Source organism: Homo sapiens, chromosome 9 (genome assembly GCF_000001405.40).
Source record: "Homo sapiens chromosome 9, GRCh38.p14 Primary Assembly".
NCBI classification, from domain to species: Eukaryota; Metazoa; Chordata; class Mammalia; order Primates; family Hominidae; genus Homo; species Homo sapiens.
In genome coordinates this window covers 98,530,056-98,546,983 of record NC_000009.12, presented here as the reverse complement: position 1 = coordinate 98,546,983, position 16,928 = coordinate 98,530,056, and the positions used below count along the sequence as shown (strand labels likewise).

The window sequence follows — 16,928 nt, the reverse complement described above, 5'->3', positions numbered from 1 at the left end:
TTCTGCCGTGTGTCAGTGCAACACAGGGCCATCCTCAGTAAGTTGTCAACCCTTTATCCTTCTCAAGGTACCTATTAAAAAGTACTCCAGCGGGCTGAGACCTGAGGCAAGATTAATTCACATAGCCAGAATAGAGAAGAATAGATACAAAGTTGAAAACCAGCGGGAACAAAAGGAAACAAAAAAAGGGAAGCATTAAAAAAGAAGAGATGGCCAATGAGATGATAAATGCAAGGCCAAATATTTACTACAGCAATAAACATACATATTTTAAAATCTGTCCATATGCTCTTTTCAAGATGTGTATTTAAAAACAATCTTAATAGAATATGAATAAAAGGAGGATAAAAAAGTGACAGGCAAATGCAAGCAAAAATACAGTAAGGGTTGCAGTATTAATAACAAGCGTGATACAGTATCAAACAAAAAGCAATAAAATGACAAACAGGTTTATTTTATCTTGATAAATATTTCAATCTTCACTCGCTCAATGAATATCTATTAAGTGCCTGTTATTTGCACTAGGCAAAAGTATATATTGCTGAAAAATGAAGACATAATTGTGATGAACATTTATGCTCAAAACAAGATAAAATGAACACATAAAAAGCAAAAACAGTTGAAATACATGAAGAAATGGTCAGAGACAATAGAAAAAAGTTTAACAAACTTCTCAGCCTTTGATAGATCAAGTAAACAAAAATACAAAGCGTATGATAATATAATTAGTTTGGTTATATCTATTATGCATAAGTAGTCTAATAAAGAATTCTATAGCTTATGACTATAGATTTCATCTTTTTTCCAGCCACCATGGAACTTGTACAGAAGTTGATTGTATAATAGGCCACAAAGAAAATCTCAATAAATTCCAAAAGCAGACACTGCACTTGCCAAATTCTCAAAATAATGCAATAAAACTAGAAATTATAAGAAAACTAGAAATTAAATTTTAAAATACTCTCCGAAATAAATCCTTGGCTAGGAATTAACTCAAAGCCTCAATCACAATCTGTTCAGAAACAAACTTGGTTATGCGAAACAAGGCAGGAGAGCTCAGAAAGCTTGGTCTCCAAGTTAGGGCCCTAATGCTAACAGCCCTGGTGATGCCAGATGCTGGGTGACTGTGCTAGGGGAAGAAGGCCTGGGGAGCATGTAGGAGGCAGGTAGATAGTCATCCATGGGAGAAAGCGCACTAGTGTTAGGGTCCTATAGACCCGGGTTCAAGTCCTGCTTCTACCTCTTATTAGCTGTAGTGGAATTTTGATATCTTATTTCGGGGCTGCAGTCTACTTATTCCAAACCAGGGGTGTGGAGCTGTATCTGTGGTCCTCAACCCTCACTGAGCATCATAATCACCTGGAAAATTTTTAAATAATACTGATGCTTGGGCTAGATGCCCAGAGATTCTGATTCAGTTCGTTTGGAGTGGGACCAAGTCATCAGTATTCTTTAAAATCTCCCCCAAATAACTCCAGTGTGCCAAGAACCCCAGAGCTAGATGATTTCTCAGATGTCTGTTAGTTTTGAAGTCCAGCAGTGCTACTGGGCACCTGCAGTTTTTGCCCATGGAAGAAAGTTTCAGGAGGCTAAAGCCAGAGTAAAGCCAGAGAAACAGTGACGCAAAGCAATCTAATCAAAGCGTGCATTATCTCAAATGGTGCAGAAAATGTCAGTGCCAGTTAATATTTTGCACCCAACATGATTTAGACCCGGGGCACATATTGTACTCCAAGCCTATTGTAAACCCAATGGGCCATTTATTCACTGAACAGTAACCACGGTAATTACCCACAGGGAAAACATGAGGTTGTTCAAGCAACAATTAATTGTGGACCTGGAACTAATGGGACAATAATGGTAAAGTAGCAACCAGAGTGTGATTAAGAAATCACATCAGAAAGCCAATATTTTCCAAATTGTATTAGATAAGGATTTTTGGGGATGTGATGGTATATATAATGTCCCTGTCCTGAAATAGTTCCTCCCAGGTTTTTCTAATAGCTCCTTCTCCCACTGGTGAGCATAGGAGGCTTGCAGTGTTTTTAATCTTGTGAGAAGAATCACAGACAGTAGGTTTGAGGGGACTATAGAGAGCTTTATTTCCCGCACTCACTACGGGACCTAAATGTCAACTGAAGGCAGGTGTGCAGACCTTGATTTGGTTGGAATGATCCTCTTTGTGAATATGATGGAAGCCACTGATTCTTTTTTTCAGAAAAATGTGCATGTCTGTCTGCACATACATGGCCATGCAAATCCTTTCCTACAGTTTTCAGGGGGTTCACAGACACTTTGAAGCCCTTCTGTTCTCACTAGGTTGTGGTCCAGTCTTTGCTTGCACACCTCCAGACACAGGGATCTCACTACTTCTGATGGCAGGTTTTCCAAGGCCAGACAACTCTGATGTGAATGTTCCTCAATGTGTCCAGTTGAAATTTCCCTCTCATTAGTCCTCGTCTACCAAGAATCTTTGAACACTGACAAAAGTCATTCTACCTTTGACCTTTACCGGTCTTGGGGTGTCTCTCTGTTGGATCTTAGAAGATGGTTTCTACGGGGGCTCTGTAGCTTCAGGTAATGGCTGAATTACTGTTGTGTGGTCAGCTCCAATAGATAGGAGATCCAGCAATTCTAGAGAGTGGCTGTCTACCCTCTGAAACAGACATGGAAAGGGACAAATCTCTACTGCCCCCCACAAACTTTTGTAAGGGGAACGTGGTTCTAGGGTGACAGAAGAAGCGGTAAAGCAACTTTAGCTGGAGGCTGAGGGTACCAGGATGTTATTTCCCTGGATGCTTAAATTGGAACCTAGGATGGATCAAATCCAGAGCTGCTGCTGGGACAAGCAAGGGTTTGGGGAGATGGCTGGTGGCAGCAAAGATTGAGCTTGCTTCATCCATGCCCTCTCTGGATCAAAGATTTGAATGAAACAAAAGAAGAGAAGGAGGGAGGGAGGGAGGGAAGGAGGGAGGACAGACAGACTAGAAGAAACCATGGAGAAATTATTTTATAATCTCAGAGTAAGAGAGGCCTTTCTTAAATATGACATAAAACCTGAAGTCATAAAGGAAAAAAACTGATAAATTCATCCTCATTAAAAAAAACCGTGATTACCTGGAAACGGCACTATAAACAACATCAAGAAACAAAGTACAAACTGGGAGAAAAATTAGCAACTTATATCATAAAGGGCTAATTTTCTTAATATAAAAGATCATTTCTATAAACTGATAAGGAAGACTACTAGTCAAATTAGAAAACAAGCAAAAAATGTGAACAGTTTCCAGAAAGGAACTACCAATTACTTTTACACATAGGAAGAAGCTGGGTGCGATAGCACACCTGTAGTCACAGTGACTCAGGAGGCTGAGGCCAGAGGCTTGAGCCCAGGGGTTCAAAACCAGACTAGGCAACATAGTGAGGCCCCTTCTCTGACAGATTTTTAAATTAGCTAGGCATAGAGGCATACACCTATAGTCCCAGCTACCCCGGAGACTAAGGCAGGTGGGGATCGCTGGAACCCAGGAGTTCCAGGCTGCAGTGAGCTATGATAGCAGCATTGTACTCCAGTCTGGGCAACAGAATGGACCCTGTCTCTAAATAATAAATAAATATATATATAAATAAAATTAATATAACAAAATAGAAATATTCAACTTCACTCACTCTAAGAAAAATGCAAATTAGAACTATAACCAGATAACATCTTTTCACCATCATACTGCAAAGATCAAAAACTTTGATAACTACCTTCTGTGGCTGAGGCTGAGGGAAGGAACAGAGATCAGAGGAAGTGTTATGGAAGGGGTGGCATTTAGGTTGGGCCTTCAGGAACAGACAATTAAAATCCAACTTAACAACTTAACTGGCACTTAAAAGAAAAAGAAGAAATAATAAAGAGAACGATGGACAGCTTTGACTATCGAGTGTAAATTAAAATACACACACATAAAATGTAAAGGCAAACTGAGATATTTGCAGCAACTATAATAGCCTGAGTTTGAACGCTATATATATAAAATATCTTCATTAAATTCAATCTGAAAAGCATTAGAATACCACTCAAAAAATAAACAAAGGACATGAAAAAGTAACTCCTAAAATAGGATATGCTACTAGTTAATAACCATAGGGAAAAGTTCAGCATTATCTATAACCATGAATGCGATATGATTCAGGGTTTTATTTGGTGATAAATCATTATAAAATTAGACAGAATAACATTTTTTACTCCCTGTGTTGGCAAAGATGTGGTGAGACTGGCCCTCTAATCATTCCTGGCTACTAAATTTGCAAACCGATAAAATGTTTTTTGGAAATAAGTATAAATCTTTAAAGACTCATATTCTTTATCTGGAAAATTTTACATCACAGACTCTATCTTATGGAAACATCCCAAAATATAAAACAAAAATGCTATGTACAAAGATGCCTGTAGAATAATATGATGATAATGACAAATTAGAAATAATCGAAATAACCCCAAATTAGAAACGATTCAGTAAATTTATGGTATATTCATATGCTGGAATATTGTGCAGCTATTATAAGGTTTACGAAGAGTTTTTAAGGATACCGTTAAATGGGGAAAAACAGTTCAATTGTGCATGTAGAATGATTTCAGGATCTTTTTTAAAAAATTCAATCACTGCATAGAAAAAGGACTGGGAAGGAATAGACGATAACATGAATGATGGTTCTTTAGGGAGGGGTAGATCATTGGCTATTTTTTCCCTTCTTCCTCCTTATTTTGCATTTTTAAACCTTCCCTTCCATTATGATATGTTACTCTTACAATAAAAAAGTTTTAAAAATATCTGTCCCTGTGTGTTTATGCTCTAAGTTGAAGCTAACAGTCTCTATTCCAGTAGGAAAGATGCTGGGTCACAGCTGTGAGGCTCATCAGTAAAAAGCGTTGTCTCTTTTGTGTTTTTCAGCTTTCTTTTGCTGCAACCACGCCTGTTCTAGCCGATAAGAAAAAATACCCTTATTTCTTTCGGACCGTCCCATCAGACAATGCGGTGAATCCAGCCATTCTGAAGTTGCTCAAGCACTACCAGTGGAAGCGCGTGGGCACGCTGACGCAAGACGTTCAGAGGTTCTCTGAGGTACGCTCGGCTTGTGTGGACACGGCCTGCCTTACTGCTTGCTGCTGTCATCTAGCAAAAGGCAATGTGGTTTAGTCAGGGATGGGTACTGTCACAGGGCTTTTAAGCATGTGTTGGTTAGTGCGATCAAAGCTGTTTCACCGTTGACAAAATAGAGCTGGTAGCTGAGGAATTTCACTGTGCATAGGACTGGTGGAAACCATCATCAGGAGTGAACCTTCCCTTTCATTCTTTTTATTGGCTACCTCGTGTGGCTTATTCCCTCAGTGGCCCTGTGGGCTTGTCTTTGTTACTGATGCTGTCGTGACCATCTAAGATCACAAAGTTCTACCAGGGGGTGTGTTCATCTGTGAGGAGAGTTTTGGGGAAGGGCTGGCTTGGACCGAAGATGCCAATGTCACCTTGGATGGGGTACAGAGTTTTGTTTGTTCTAAGTGACTTACAAACACACCTTAATATATGGTAGGCAATTTTTTTGTTTTGTGTATGTGTTTTGTTGTGGGGGAAAAAAAAGCCAAAATATGGGTAGTAAAAAATGTAAAAGTGTTGCTTTGTCCTAAGCCACCTGAATCATGCTTTCTCTCTGAAAGTTAACTCCTGCTTTCACTTAGGGGTTCATCTGCCTAGAACTTTTTCAATGTATTTGTTTTAAAGCCAAATGACTTCATATCATGTATGTTTCTTTTTTCACTTTACAACAGATCTTAGAGGTCTTGATTAACCTCATGGTTTAAAGGGACCTGGTGTTCTGTCAGATGGGTATATCGTAACTTACCGAGCCAGCCCCTCTGAACGTTGACCACTTTTCAATGGGACAACCATACTCTCATGGCTAGGTGTGCGTCTTGGCAGTAGACTTCTAGAAGTGGATTTGCTGGGCCATTTAAAAATTTGAGAAGGACTGACTTCCAAAAAGGCAGTTCTAATTTCTAGTCCCACCAACAGCATTTGAAAATTCCCATTTTCACATATCCTTACTAACAGTGGATATTAACAAATATTTGAAACATTAGCCTCACTCAGATGAGTACAAAATGGCCTCCTGTCTTTTTTCCCATTTGCTTTGTGCCTCCTCCTCTCCTTTCTATTCCCATGTGTGCTTTTGATACTTGGAGCCTCCAAAAACACAAGACAAACCAAGTGTTCTTAGCAGCCCAAGAGAAACAAACTTTAGCCGTGTGGAGGATTTCCATGTGTGAGTCAGGGGTCTAGACAGACCTCAGCCGGAGCGGTGGGGGCAGACACACAGCCTCTTGCCAGCCTGGGAATGGGGAAAGGCCGGGCAGGGTGGCAAGAAAGTTGGGAGTAGAACAGGGCTGGTAATCAGCAGACCTGGTTTCCACTGCAGCTCTGCACTTACCTTCTGAGGTTCTTGCCCCCTGTCTCTTCCATGGGAAGGAGAGACCACTTCATACATTGGCTGTGTGACCTTGGAGACGTTACCTTGCTTCTCTGAGCTTCGATTCCTCCCCTGTAAAATGGGGACAATAACTTCTTGCATGCCTCCCTGCAGGGCTTCTGCCAAAATCCAATGAGTAATGGATCTGAAAGAGCTTCGTAAACTGTAAAGTTCATACACAGAGAGGGTTGTTTTTGGAGGTGCGTGAAAAGTGGAAGTGTTTGGCCCCACTGTCTGTGGGTATCCAAACAAGGCAAGCTTTTCCCAGGCAAGACTGCTCGTCATCTTCCCACCTCTCTGTTTCTCAGCCCCTAGGAGGAGGCACAAAGGGAACTTGACCTCCAGCGGGAGTGACTCATTGCCAAACGCTGAAGAGGCTTTTGCTGAAAGGCCGCCTTCATAGAGAAGCGAGAAATGTTCTAAAATGAGAGTGAAACAAGTGGATGGTGGAGGATAAGAAGGACCCATCCCATGGCCCCATTAACACTGGACTCTACTAGGATTTAGAGAGACTTGCTTTTTCCTTTTTCTTTTCTTTTTCTTTTTTTTTTTTTTTTTTTAGACGAAGTCTCACTCTGTCACCAGGCTGGAGTGCACTGGCGCAATCTCGGCTCATTGCAACCTCTGCCTCCTGGGTTCAAGCAATTCTCCTGCCTCAGCCTCCCGAGTAGCTGGGACTACAGGCACGTGCCACCACACCCAGCTAATTTATGTATTTTTAGTAGAGACGGGGTTTCACCATATTGGCTAGGATGGTCTCGATCTCTTGACCTCTTGATCTGCTCACCTCAGCTTCCCAAAGTGCTCCCAAAGTGGCATGAGCCACCGGGCCCGGCCAGACCTGCTTTTTTCTAATAGCATCTTTGGCTGTCAGAGCCTGAAGGACCCTTAGAGACATATCTCCTACCCTCCTCATTTTGTAGAAGGGGAAACTAAGGCCCAGAGAGGGAAGGGGACAAAGTTCAAGGTTTCAAGGCACCTCTGAAGTCATGAAAGATTGTTCACAGAAAAGTCAGGACTAAATTTTGGGGTCCTGAACCCCTCAGTTCAGACTTCCCATTTCTCCTTCTTTTCTTCTCTAGCTTCCTGGAATTGCATAGGAACTACCTGCATATAGCCTAAGAGGTTTGAAATTCCCACCAGACTGGTTCTAAAGGGGGTAAATTGTGAGCCCTGACATTGGTTGTGTGCCTTATAGATTCCCAAAAACTCTCACAGACAGCCACCCTGTAAGGAGGAGTGATGGTTCCCATTTTACAGATGGGGAAACTGAGGTTTGCAGAGGGTGGGAGGTCTCTTGCCCCAGGGCGCATGCTGGTAAAGAGCCCAGGCAGGGCTGGAAGCTGTACCCTCAGGCTGTTGCTGTGTGTCCTCGCTACATGGTCCTCACTGGGTAATCTCAGGTCTTGACTGTTGGGTAGCACATCTTTCCCCTTGCACAGCCGTGTCGGGGCCCTCAGCCAGGGTTTCAGGGCATCTCAGTGGGAAACCTTTTTTCCCGAGGACAGGATGCTGCTTGCTGGTATTGCTGGCAAGGACCTCTCTTGATTTAAATCTCTCAGCCCAGCTGACTCCTCTCTGTGCCCAAGGGCTTTGGCATCCCTCTCTCAATGTCTGGGCTGCATCGCTGGAGTGCAGGCCCTGGAAACTCGCCAGGGGCTAACAGCTTTTCATGAGTGCAAAGGAAACTGGATTCCTTTTATGAAACTGGTCGATCAGCAACGTCAAGCACTTCTGTTCCGGACTGGTGCACTGGAAGGAATGTCAAGTGAAAGAAATCCTGAAGTCGGAGGGGGTGGTGGAGGGGCTTTACTCCCACGGAGCTTATTACTGTGGCATTAGGACTATGGAAGCGGGTAGAAGGCTGAGGGCCATCCCACCTGGGGACCAGCTGCTCCTGTGAGCACCTCCAACCTCTGAGTTTCAAGGTAAGCCCATGGTAACCCAGAGGCTGCTCAGGACTTGGGTCTGAGGTACTGATCTCTAGGCCCACTTTGGCCAAGCATGGCTGCGTGACCCCAGGCAATTCACTTTCCCATGCTGACCCTAGGATGTATCAGATCTAGAGCTGCTGCTGGGACCAGGGTTCCATGGAGAGAATTGGCTACTGGAAAGTTTCAGCTTGCTCTGCCATGCCCCCTCTGGATGAAAGATGTAAATGAGACAAAAGAAGGAAGGATTTGGTACCAGGTGGGCTGATCTCTGAGCCCATCCTTGCTAAGTGATGGCTGTGAGATCCTAGGCCTCATAGAGATCCACTTTTCCCTTGTGTAAAATGGGGCTATTTATCCTACCTTGCAGGTACTGAAGATGAGATGGTTAAGTGAGAAAACAGAAATGAAAGATCTCTGTGTAGTAGGTGCTCACTAAATAGCCATTTGCTTCTCCAGTGATTCATGGGGCAAACTGAAAATGCAGGCCCATTCACTCAAAAAATCAGTGTGGCCTCCTATGTGCCATGGTCTGTGATGGGCCCTGTGCTGTGGAGGACCAGAGATCAATGACACAGCCTGGGGGTGAGTGGTGAGGCTTCCTGCATTGTGTTCTCAACTCTGGCTGCTCGCTAGAATCACCAGGGAAATTTTGATTTTAATACAAAATAAAATGTACATTTTTGGATTTTCTTCCATTTCCTTTTCTTCACTTTTAATAGCCTTATTGAGATATAATTTACATACCATACAGTTCATCCGTTGTTAATGTACAGTTCAATTATTTTTTATAAATTTTTTATGTTGGCCAGGTGTGGTGGCTCACACCTGTAATTCCATCACTTTGGGAAGCCAAAGTGGAAGGATTGCTTGAGCCCAGAAGTTTGAGACCAGCCTGGAGAACATGACAAAGCCCTGTCTCTACAAAAAAAAATACAAAAATTAACTGGGCATGATGGTGCACACCTATAGTCCCAGCTACCTGAGAGGCTTGAGCCCAGGAGTTCAAGGCTGCAGTGAGCTATGATTGCCCTACTGCACATTTTAACTTGGGAGACAGTGAGACCCTGTCTCAAAAAAAAAAAAGTATGTGTTTGTGCAACCATCGCCACAATCCAGTTTTAGAACACTCTTCATCACTCTAAAAATTCCCATGTGCCCATTTGTAGTCAGTTCCACCCCCCAGCCCCAGGAATAGTTTTACCTTTTCTGGAAATTTCATATAAATGGAATTAAAGAACACGCAGTCTTTTGCGTCTGGCTTCTTTCACTTAGCGCAGTGTTTGAGGCACATCATGCTGTGGCATGTGGCGGTGGTTTGTTTCTTTCTACTGCTGAGTGGTAATCCCTTGTATGGATGGAGCATCTGGGGAGCTTTGAAAATCCTGATGCCCAGGCCATCCCCAGAGCAACCACACTGGACGACCCTGGTGTTGGAGCCTGTCCAAGCTCTCCAGGTGGCTTCAGTGTGTCGCCAGCGTTGAGAACTCACGTCCTGCGTAATTGGCTCAGAGTCAGGAGCTCAGGGTGGAAGTGACGCCCTCTGGTGGTGGGAGACCTTGAGCTCAAAGTAGCCCCATTCTACCTGGTGGCCTCGGTCTACTTGTGGCCCTCAGCAGGCCTGGGGACTGAGGAGCAGGATGGAGAAGGTGGAGGGAGGCCTTGGTCCAGTGCTGGGGGCCCTGCCAGATGGAAGACAACAGTAGGGGTGTGAAGAGTTGGGTGGTCCACGAAGTCTGTGTTGGAGAGGGATAGGCAGGCAGGTAACCCGTGTGCACATTGAGGGGCTGCGGTAAGGAACTGGAGGGTTGTTGGGAGGCTGTGGACAGAGCCAGAAGAGGGGCATAAGTACCGAGAGTCCAGACCCTGGTGATGTGTGAAGACCCATTGTGGCATGGAGGTGCAGGTCACTGGAATTTAGGGCAAGGAGCTGAGAGGCCAGAGTGCTGAGTGATGTCACATGGGCACTGCGGGCCCAGGAGGGAGATAGGGCTTGGGGTGGAGATGAAGGCAGTGGGCAGGGGATGCCTAGAAAGACAGCAGAGGGAGGCAGAGACATTTGGGTCTCTCCCCCTTTTCAAGTCTTATGGTCTACCCAACCATCCTCACCAAGTTATTCTTTGGGCTCTCAATTCTATGTTGCAGCTAACCAACTAAGTGCTTAAGTACCCGTAAGCCAATCACTTGCTGTCTCTGGGTCTCAGTTTCCCTTTCTGTAAGCTAAGAGAATTGGGCCAGTTGACCTCTAAGATCCCTCCTAGCTCAAAGAATTTTGGATTCTAGGATGTGAGCTTATGGAGACCTGGCCTTTGACCCTGATCCTGCCACTCCCAGGGACATGGTCATGAGAATTACTTGCCTCTTTGTGCCTCTGCTTTGTTTGTTTAAGAGACTAATTTTAGAGGATTTTAAATTCATAGCAAAATTGAGAGTAAGGTACAGAGATTTCCCATACGCTCCCTGCCCCCACACAGGCACAGCCTCCTCATTCTCACCATCCCTGTCAGAGTGGCCCATTTGTTACAACTGATGAATCTACATTGACAGGGCATCATCACCCAGACTCCAGAGTTTACATTAGGGTTCACTCTTGGTGGGGTATATTGAATGGTTTTGGACAAATGTGTAATGACATGTATTCATCATTATAGTATCATTAGAGTATTTTCACCACCCTAAAAGTCCTCTGTCTTTTTACTGATCCCCATAGTTTTGCCTTTTCCATAATGTCGTTTAGTTGGAATCATACGGAATGTAGCCTTTTCAGATTGGCTTATTTCCCTTCTTTAATACGCATTTAACTTTCCGCCATGTCTTTTCATTGCTTGATAGCTTGTTTAGTTTTAGTGCTGAATTAACACAGCTGTCCCTTAGTAACCATGGGGGATTGGTTCCCAGACCCCCATGGGTACCAAAATCTGAGAATCCTCAAGTCACTGATATAAAATGGTGTAGTGTTTGCATATAGCCTATGCACATCCTCCCATATTCTTTAAATTATCTCTAGATTACCTTTAATACCTAATACAGTGTAAATGCTAGGTAAATAGTTGTTATACTGCATTGGGTTTTTTTTTGTGTTATTTTTTGTTGCTCTGTTGTTATTTATTTATTTATTTATTTTTAAAATATCCTCCATCCGGGCTGAGTGTGGTGGCTCATGCCTGTAATCCCAGCACTCTGGGAGACTGAGGTGGGCAGATCACCTGAGGTCAGGAGTTCGAGACCAGCCTGGCCAACATGGTGAAACCCTGTCTCTACTAAAAATACAAAAAAAATTAACTGGGCATGGTAGCGGGCGCCTGTAATTCCAGCTACTTGGGAGGCTGAGGCAGGAGAATCACTTGAACCTGAGAGGTGGAGGTTGCAGTGAGCTGAGATGGCACTACTGTCCTTCAGCCTGGCAACAGAGTGAGACTCTGTTCCCCCGGTGCCCCCCTGAAAAAAAATATCCTCAATTCATGGTTGGTTGAATCCATGGATGAGGAGCCTGTGGTTACCAAGGGTCAACTGTATCCATTGTCAGGATGTACCACAGTTTATCCATTCATCTGCTGAAGGATATCTTGGTGGCTTCTCATTTTTTTGCAATTATTAATAAAGCTGCTCTAAACATCCATGCGCAGGATTTTTTGTGGACATCAGATTTCAGCTCTTTGGGTAAATACCAAGAAGCTCCATTGCTGGATCATATGGTAAGGGTATGTTTCATGTTGTAAGAAAACGCCAAACTGTCTTCCAAAGTGGCTGTACCATTTTGCATTCCCACCAGCAATGAATGAGAGTTTCTGTGACTCCCCATCCTCTCCAGTATTTGGTATTGTCAGCGTTCTGGAGTTTGGCCATTCTAATAGATGTGCAGTGGTATCTTGTTGTTTTAATTTGCATTACCCTCATGTCATATGATGTGGAGCATCTTTTCGTAGGCTTCTTTGCCATCTTTTTTTCATCTTGAGCATGAGGATAATAATAGCACCTACCTCTTAGGGTTGTTGGGAGGATTCAATGTGTTAGGATACTTAAACTACTAAGAAAAGTGCCTGGCTTATCCTCAGCACCATGCAAGGGGCAGCTGTTATTTTTATTAACATCCAGAATCAGGTTCCTTAGCCCGTGGCTGGCCCCTATTCAGGAGCCCCACTGCATGGCTGAGTTTCTGTGCCTGCCATGAGCATGGCTGCCTTTCCCTTTTCTCCCTCCAAGCTCCAAGCTCCAAGACTCCCCACCTAGTCACTGGTCCTCAGTGATCTCGAGGCTTCTGAAGCTGACCTTTCTGTACTGGCGACCTCTCTCAAGTGGCAGGCCCCACTGAGGTGAGGCCCTTAATCTGCCCGAGACCAAAAGGTCAGCATCTGCAGAGCTTCCTCTTCAAAGCACCTGCCCTTTCAGGCCCTCCAGGGCCCTGCCTGGCCCTTTGAAACCTTTACCCCTTGCTAAGTTGCCATCTGCCCCACCAAAAGGGCCTTGGGTCAACTCCTCTAAAGTTGCTGCTTACTCTTCCAGAGTAGTAGCCTGGGAGACACTCCTGCAGGGGAGGACGGGGAGACCCTGGGCTTGCATCTAATCTAGAAGCCACCCTTGTTAGAATCATCATCCTCTCCTGCTGCTCTGAGCAGGAACAAGCTCCTTAGCATGGCTCGAGACCCTTTATGGTCTCTCTGAGGCCTCCTCCTCTGTCTCACCTGCAGTCACTTCTTCCTTTGCCCCTTTGGTCCAGCCACACCTCCATGCTGGCTTCTCTCTTGGCAGGAACATCCTGCCCTCCATCTGGCTCAACCTCCCCAGCTGGCTCCAGGTGTGCCGTCTCTGTGTTCTTCCTCCTCATTTTTCTCCCCATACCAGTTCTTTGCATGATGCAGCACAAGACACCATTTGCTTCCTCATCTCTCACCCACTGTCACTGGATGGGGGATGAGATGAGATGATGAATGAGAGCCACAGCAGATCCCTGTGTCCCCTCACCCTGCATGCTCCCTGGTGCAGGTATGTTCAGTGAGGATTTCAGTACATGATTCTTGATCCATTAGGCCAGATTCTTAGGGACAAATGCAGTTCTTTCCCTCCTGTTTTCCTGAGTCCACCTGTTCCTGGGATGGTGAGATGAAGGTGTAAGGGGTGCAGAGAAACCCCAGCCCCAGCATCCAGGCTTGTGAAGAGTCCATTCCCTCTCTTGACTGCCTCCTGCCTGAGTCACCCGGGCCATCTGGAAGAGCAGCAGGGAATGACGGATGATTCTAACAAGGGTGACTCCTAGGTTAGATGCAAGCCCAGGGTCTCCCTGTCCTCCCCTGCAGGAGTGTCTCCCAGGATACTGCTCTGGAAAAGTAAGCAGTAACTTTAAAGGAGTTGACCCGAGGCCCCTTTGGTGGGACAGATGGCAACTTGGCAAGGGGGGATCGTTGCAAAGGGCCAGGCAGTTCTGGCAGAGTCAGCAAGTCTGACTCCTGCAGAATTCCACTCAGGTCATGCCATCATTTCTTAACTTGAAGTCTTTTTTGGATGTGACATTGTTTGTTGGTGGAAATTCTTCTAGAGATCTCAGTGGAAAGTTCTGGACCAGCCATTGGCATCAACAATCCCCAGGAACCTGCCACGTGCTTGCTTATAGATGATGTAGGTGTTGGGCTTTGGGAATGCACACACGGTAGTTTGTGTCCAAGTTAATTTTCCTGAATTTGTCATCCTGGGAGAATTTTTTCCTGAGTTGTTAATGCTTCAGAATCCTCTCTCTTCAGGATTGGGCAATACTGACTTCTACACCAGTCGTTCTCAAAGTGTGGTCCCTGGACCAGCATCATCAGCAGGACCACTTGGGCTCTGTCCTAGCCCCAGTGAATCAGACACTGTGGGATGGGCTCAGCTTTATGATTTTGATGCAGCTAGAGTGTGAGAACCACTGCACTGAAGGAATGGGCAGCCTTCAGGTGGGACCACTGTGCTCCCAAGCTCACTTTAACTAAGAACAAGGCCAAGCACACTTGGAGGGCTGAGCCACCTCTGAGCTCTGCCCTTGGCATCCCTCCTGGCTGCAGGATCACCTGGGCTGCCAGCGTATCTGCAGATCTTTTATCATTAGGAGACAGAGGGGACTCCGACGGATCAGATTCTAATCCTAATGGTACTAGTGCCCCACCTCGGGCCCCAACTTTTATCTGAAGAACTTGCCAATGCTTTTAGGTGACTTGGCTGCCTGCCCAAGCAAGCATCCTCTCCTTCTCTGTGCTCTTCCCTTGAGCTCTGCAAGGGGCCAGGCCTGTGGGTCAGCCAGCAGGAAAAGATTCTTATCTGTCCTGTCCAGACCTTGGTGGTTGTTTGTGGCAGCCTCTTTGGCATTTGAAGGGTTAGGGTAGGTCCATTATTTCCCAGAGAATGGTTTAAATATGTGATATGATTTTTGTACAATCTTAATATCTCTGTATTTGTGTTATTATACACTAGGAAAAAGTAAAATGATGACTAGCACATCAAAACTGTACTTCATGGATGTTATTGCTTAAGATGGAATCCCTGTTTAAAAAGTGACACCGTTCAATTGAAAATACTAATTAATGCTTACACGGGTGGTGCACAGACATGGTGAAATGGCCTCTAAGAGGTGCAGGAGTGACTGAAGTTTGGGGACCACTGGGATGAATAAAAAGCACTTAGCCGCCTGTTTATTTAACTCATGAGGATAGATGGGTGAAGGGTGGGGAGTGGGACTGGCAATAGACTTCTCCTTGAAACTCTGATCTAAAGCAGATAATCAATGGGAAAGGCATTTGATCAATGTCAAGAATCAGCCCCACAGGCCTTCAGTCTTCTGCTGAGGCTCCATAGGGACAGATCCTGGGGTTCAAGCAACACTTGTTCTTTCATGTGAATGTTCCCTGTGGGAAGTGCAGCCCACTAGCAGTGCTCTGTCCTACCCACCCCTGCAGAGTGGGAAGACCCCACCTAGGTGAGAGCCACCGCCTGTCAGGGGCTCCAGTTTCTAGTGCTTCTGCCATCTTGGAGCAGTGTGTGCACATCTGGAGCATTTCCAGGATGTTTTGCTCAGTGGTGGCTGCCATGGCTAAGCCTGCTGAAGACAGATGTCCGAGCTTGGATGCCTTTATCTGGCTCAGAGCTCCTGCCCTCGGGACAGATGGCCCACTAGTCTCCTCCTCCCTCTACTCCAGAGCAGAGAGAAGATGGCTGTCCCATTTTTGGTTCAAAAGGAAGACCTCAGGACCTAGTGGATGGTCCCCCATAACACTCCACACCAGGTCCTCAGAGTGGAGTCCTTCTCCCCACTCCACATGGACCCCGCTCAGAGAGGCTAGGGTGACTGGCCGTGGGTCTGTGGTGCCAACGCCAGGCTCCTGAAGGGCTGGGTGAGTGTTGTACTCTTTGCTCAAGAGGGCATGTGATATTAGATAAATATATCCTCCACTCAAGCTGTGAGGATCCTGGAACATAGCGTTGACTGAGTGTGCCTTCTTCAAAACAGTCCACAGGAGATCCTTCAGGTCTCTGGGGGAAAAGGACCATCCACAGTGACCTCAGCACCCTCACCAGGGACACTTCCTGGTGCCACCTGCCCAGCCCCGGGCCAGGCTCCCAGGGCAGGACTCAAGCCTTGCGAAGCAACCCTTCCCCCTCTATACACACACACATCAGGACCTTGGGAGTAGGAAAATGTGATTAAAATCTCATCTGCCAGTTATTGAGAACCTACTGTGTGCCAGGTAGTTATGTTCAATTATTCAGCATGGTGTGGTCTCCCTATTTTTTTTTTGAGATGGGGTTACCCTCCATCATCCAGATTGGAGTACAGTGGTGCAGTCGTAGCTCACTGCAGCCTCAAACTCCTGGGCTCAAGCGATCTTCTGGCTCAGGTTCCCAAATAGCTGAGACTACAGGCACACGCCACCGCGCCTGGTTATTTTTATTTTATTTTATTTTTTGTCGAGACAGAGTCTCATTTTGTTGCCCAGGCTGGTCTCGAACTTCTGGGCTCCAATGACCCTCCCACCTTGGCCTCCCAAAGTGCTGGTATTACAGGTGTGAGCCACAGCACCTGGTGCTGTCTCCCTTTTAGAGAGCGGACTCACTCAGGGAGAATTAAGTAATGCCAGGGTCTCATAGCCACGAAGTGGCAGGTATAGACATGAACCCCGGTTTGTGCCTGCCCTTGTGAAGAAGAGGAAGCCAGGAGTCTGGGGCCAATATCCCCCCAAGTCCCTGTACCCCACCTACCACAGAAGCAGGGAGGTGAATATACAGGCCAATCAACCATGTCTCAAGGGGACCTCTTCACAGTCCTTTGGAATTTTTGCCATGGGATCCTGCATTTAATTTTTATTATTTTCTCAAGTTGGGAATCTCAGAACAGAGCACTGTCCCTTCACGCTGCTCCTACCACCCTTCCCGGGACACGTTGTTTCTGCCGGTCCTCTTGGCTGACAGGGCAGTGCATCTTGTAGTGTGTAGGTTCCCTAGAGCTATTCTGGTACATTCTGGCTG

The 16,928-nt window shown here is 45.5% G+C and overlaps 1 protein-coding gene across 3 annotated transcripts in view; it reads left to right on the top strand.

Moving 5' to 3' along the window:
- Nucleotides 1–16,928, top strand: part of GABBR2 (gamma-aminobutyric acid type B receptor subunit 2) — a 420,827-nt gene that overhangs the window by 161,952 nt on the left and 241,947 nt on the right. For 2 of the 3 annotated variants that reach the window (NM_005458.8, XM_017015331.3), the window contains one exon: nucleotides 4,941–5,111. In NM_005458.8, coding sequence (NP_005449.5) covers nucleotides 4,941–5,111 — 171 coding nt within the window. Of the gene's footprint in view, nucleotides 1–4,940; nucleotides 5,112–8,315; nucleotides 8,439–16,928 lie in introns of those variants that run through there. The other variant, XM_005252316.6, reaches the window with a different exon arrangement.